This window comes from Homo sapiens, chromosome 14, assembly GCF_000001405.40.
Source record: "Homo sapiens chromosome 14, GRCh38.p14 Primary Assembly".
Taxonomy (NCBI): Eukaryota; Metazoa; Chordata; class Mammalia; order Primates; family Hominidae; genus Homo; species Homo sapiens.
The window spans coordinates 98,005,852-98,008,316 of NC_000014.9; positions in this window are offsets into that span (position 1 = coordinate 98,005,852).

Consider the following 2,465-nt stretch of genomic DNA (forward strand, 5'->3'; position numbering starts at 1 on the left):
GTAATCCCAGCATTTTGGGAGGCTGAGGCAGGTGGATCACCTGAGGTCGGGAGTTCGAGACCAGCCTGACCAACATGGGGAAACCCAGTCTCTACTAAAAAAAAAAAAAAAAAAAAAAACATTAGCCGTGTGGGGTGGCACACTCCTGTAATCCTAGCTACTCGGGAGGCTGAGGCGGGAGAATCGCCTGAACTTAGGAGGCGGAGTTTGAAGTGACCCAAGATTGCACCATTGCACTCCACCCTGGGCAACAGAGCGAGACTCCATCTCAAAAAAGAAAAAAAGAAAAGAAATAAAGGAAAAAGAAAGTAGTATGGTGTAACTAAGGGGAGAGGTTGGTTAACGTGTACAAAGTTTCAGTTAGACAGAATGAATCAGATCTGGAGACCTACAACATAGTGACCACGGTTACTAATAATGTTTTGTATACTTGAAAATTGTTAAGAGAGTAGATCCTAAATGTTCTCACCACAAAAAGATAAGTAAGTGAGGTGATGGATCTGTTAATTAGCTTCATTTAATCATTCCACAATGTATACATGTGTCAAAACATCAAGTGGTACCTTGTCAATACATATAATTTTTAGTTGTCAAAAAAAAAAATAAGGAAAGTAGTGTGGTATAACTAAAAGACTGCAGATATTGTATCACATTGATCTGGTTTAAATAATTATCTTGTTGCTTAATCTGACCTCAGATACCTAATGAACTAAAGGACACGTAGAGCTTTCATCAGGAAAATGGGCATGATAATATCTAGCTTCTAGAGACCTTGTTAAGATTAAGTGCCTAATGTAGCATAGGCTTCAAAGATTTATGTTTTTACCTGCATATTTACATTGTATATACATTGCATTATTTCTACTAAATTATAGGCTCTTTTGTGCAGTCTATTGCAAATTCATTTCTAATTCCTATACTACCATGTTATGGAAAACAAGAGTAATAGTCCATAAATGTTTGTCGAATGAACGTGTAACGATATCGTCATTCATGTCCAATTTCATGTTCACTACTTTTTGAATCAAATTGAGTTTTCAAGGTTCTATCCACCACCATCCGTGATGTGGATAGTAAAACAAATTGAATGTAAAAATATGGGAAAATTAGGCAGAAGGCCTTATGTTACTTGGAAGTGAAACGAATCATATCAAATTTTCAAGACTCTATCCATGAATTATCTGTGATGTGGGTAGTAAAATAAATTGAATGTTAAACTATGAGAAAATTAGGAAAAGGGCCTGATATAACTTAGTAATAAAAATGGATCCTTTTGTACATGAGTGTATAAATGATGTCTATATGCGAATCATGCTTGTTGTTTGCATTTTTAGTAGTGTTATTCTTAACCTCTCTACCAACATTTTATTGGATTCTTGAAAGTCATTCTTTGCGCATTTACACTATTTCAAAACATCTGCTGCTTTGGGGTTCAAGCTGTGCATTAGGGTTCCGAGAATTCACAGAGAAATTTCAAAGCAGGTCTCCCATCTGAATAACTCGGTGGGAAATGCAGTAGAAGCCTGATCTTTTATAAGATTGCTTATGGCTGTCCTGAAATATTTGAAACCCAATTCCTTTTCAATTGCTTTGTGTTGCTATTTCTTTCCAAACTACATTTTTTTTTCTTTTTTTTTTTTTTTTTTTGCTACATACATCTCTTCAGGGACAATATAGTCCAGCTGAGTCAAGGGACCCAGTGTAGACAATTCAGGTCTCCTGATTTTAGGCTTAGATGCTTTCTTTCCAGCTCTGGGCCACCTATAGCAGTGGATTAAATTGTCTGAACATCTTTCAAACCACCACATCCATCTCCAACTCACATCTCGTCATGCCTGTAGCTAGGGACTGATACAGTCTCATCTCATTCCCCTGCCCCTGATCCTCTTGTTTCCATCCAATCCACACATCCTCAGTGGGCCTGTTTAGGATGCTAGGTTGGCATTTGATCTTTTTCCTCTTCTCAATTACAAGTATCCTGGTAAATCTCAACACCACTTTAGCTCCGCTCCTTGTCTTCAGTGCAAATCCGTTATCAATTTACAGCTGCCTTAGCTGACCTGGAAATCCTCATCCCTTATTCCACCTGGCAAAAACCTTCCAAATTCACCCAGAGCATTCTGACCCTGTCATCTTGGTTCATCTTGAGTTCTGACAGCATGAACCAAAGAGCAATTAATAACTTATTTTAAATAACAGTCTTAATGGTGAATAGCATTGCTCAAATTAAAATGAATCTCATTTTAATACAGTGATTTAGAATAGGTTTATTTAGAATATTTTATGTGGCATTAGTAAGTGCTAAAAATTTGGAGAATTTCCTTCCTTCCATATAAAGGTTCTTCTTCTCAGTCTAATATAGACAGTGGGGCAATGCAAGGTGGTTTCAGAGAAAAGCAGAAAATAAACAAATACTGCTGACCAAATGAGGGAGCATGGGTCTTTAATTCTAGTCTTGGCCTTTT